Source organism: Homo sapiens, chromosome 2 (assembly GCF_000001405.40).
Source record: "Homo sapiens chromosome 2, GRCh38.p14 Primary Assembly".
In the NCBI taxonomy this organism is placed as follows: Eukaryota; Metazoa; Chordata; class Mammalia; order Primates; family Hominidae; genus Homo; species Homo sapiens.
Window position 1 is genome coordinate 156,694,451 of NC_000002.12, and position 2,486 is coordinate 156,696,936.

Here is a 2,486-nt window from a genome sequence, read left to right on the forward strand (position 1 = left end):
GAGCTGAGAAGTCTCAAAGTTTCCTTCATCTAAGAATATGTTAAAATGACATTGATGGGGTCCAGCATATTGGAGCCTGAAATCTGACTTCTTCACGTGAAGGTGTGGGTATTAATTTGGTTAATTTCTAATGATCATCCATAATAACTTACAAAAGAGTTTGAATAATGAAACAATGTAAAAAGAAATTTGGTTCCAAAAATAAGCCTTTCTAAGACAGAAAATGTCTTAAAAACCTGCAGTATTTAGAGGCTTAATTAGTATACTGGGTGATTATGACATCTAGCTCGTTTCATTACCTTCCTAATGTATTATTAGTTGGCAGTTAAATACTGTCTGCTGGGACCTAAGAGTTTTTCCTCTTGTCTTTCTGGTCATACTTATTGCCTAGGCCGACAGCTTACCTGTAGTGAGGAAGAAATGGAACACCAATTAGAAAGCTTTCAGCCCAGCACCCATGGAAAAGCCAAAAGCTGATAAAGGTCAGCGTGAAATTTGAATGACAGGGCTAAAGTCTTTTACTCATAATTTTGTGTTTGCAATAGAATTCAGAGCAATTCACAGCCTTAAAGGCCTTAAGTGAGAACAGCAATTAATTGTAATGAATAATCTGACAAATCTGGTTGACATATGGCTGCTAATGCCCTCCTTTCTAGTGGGAGCAGTGGAGGGATTAGATTAACTCAAATGAAATCTGGGACCGCCATGCCATCTGCATGTTCAGTAGGAAACGGTACACGTTAAATGGTGAGTGGGTAGATATCTGTCTTGTACTCATCTCTCTCTGAGCCCTTGGCAGATCTGGGAATAGCAGTTTTATTACTGCACCAGCTGCCTGTCAATAGAGTAATACAGGAACGGCATGAAGTGCAACCTAGAAAGCTAATATACCAGGAAGCTGTTAAAAATTAACTAGATACAATTAACATGGACTTCTAAATTTCTCTGTTTATACAATGCATATTTATATTTTGATTTTGGGTTTGCCTCATTGAATGTTCGGTAATTAAACAATGTCATTTCCATCTGCCCTATTTATATGTTCTACCTGAAGATACAAGTGGCAGGTAGAGATTGAATTTCATATATTCTCATGAGTTAATAAAACTTTCACTTTTCCATTATTTTGAGGGTCAGGTAGAGAATTATTAAATGAAATCTACAAATAATCCCTGAACTCATTTAGAAAGCCCCACCTCCTTCCCTCAAATGCACCCCTTCCTTTTTTTTTTTTTTTTAACTCCAAAGTTAACAAGTGGTGAATTGCAGTGAATTACTCTTTCCCCTCTTTGGCCCCAGCACTGCCCCTGATGAAGGAGGTAATACTCAGAGATGTGGCCAAAAGCAAGGGGGCGCTCATTGTGATTGATTTCTGCAAAATCAAATGTTATTCGTTTCTGCTGGGAGAGGAAGACTACCATTCACACTCATTTCCTCCTACCAGATTTAATGTGTTCCATCATAAAGCCAAATTCCTCCTTGATCTGGCTGCTCTGCTGAGTGGAGTTTACTTTTTATTTTACTTGAGTACCTTGTATTACATTCTAAGGCTAAGCTGTTATTTGAACAAACAACCAGTACAGACCTTGCCTTTGGGATGTGAGTTAAATCCCTGCCCAACTTGCTCACTTCCACTTAGGCCCCGGTTGCCACTGCCAGTTATTAGTCGCTGGAGAATATAGATCCTGAAACCTCATTCTGCCTCTTTCTCTTTATAGGCTTTTCACTTGATCAAGTTAAATCCGTACAAACCTTGTGTGCTTGAAAAGAAAACAAACGGAAATTCTCTTCCCAAGTCTTTTGTCAGTTTCTTAGAGATTTCCATGGAACACAGTAGTGTTTGATACAGGTTATCTATTTCTCCTTCCTATCAGAGCTGCCAATCATTCCTGTTTTAAAGGGGAGCAAAACTGAACACAAGCCCATTAACTAGCTCACTTTTAATCTCCCAGCAAATCAGGAGAGCATTCAGATGTGTATACAGTAGCCTTTTCCAAAATGAGCAAATCTGATTTGATCAAGGATAAAACAAAAACTCATCTTCCTGCAGGCAAGTATGCAGAAAAGTCAAAACACTAAGAGAGACAAAGTTCACTCTCTGGAAACATCAGCCTGGATGGTCAGGTTTATTTTGTTTGTTTGTTTTTTTGAGACAGAGTCTTGCTCTGTTGCCCAGGCTGGAGTGCAGTGGTGCGATCTCAGCTCACTGCAAGCTCCACCTCCCGGGTTCACGCCATTCTCCTGCCTCAGCCTCCCCAGTAGCTGGGACTACAGGTGCCCACCACCATGCCCGGCTAATTTTTTGTATTTTTAGTAGAGACAGGGTTTCACCGTGTTAGCCAGAATGGTCTCTATCTCCTGAGATGGTCAGGTTTTAATACATCTTCCTTAGTGCCTTAGTGGTTGAGTTTGAAGGCAGTAGTGGGATGACAGTGGAAAAACCACTCCTCCATTTTAGGAAAAGGTAATCTTTACCCAATGGTGTG

The 2,486-nt window shown here is 40.0% G+C and overlaps 1 annotated feature.

Annotated features, from left to right (window-relative positions):
* Positions 52 to 990: an enhancer, noted in NCBI's record as "VISTA enhancer hs413". NCBI's record gives its function as "enhancer in: midbrain (mesencephalon)[4/5]" and the evidence as "EXISTENCE:transgenic organism evidence [ECO:0001131][PMID:17130149]".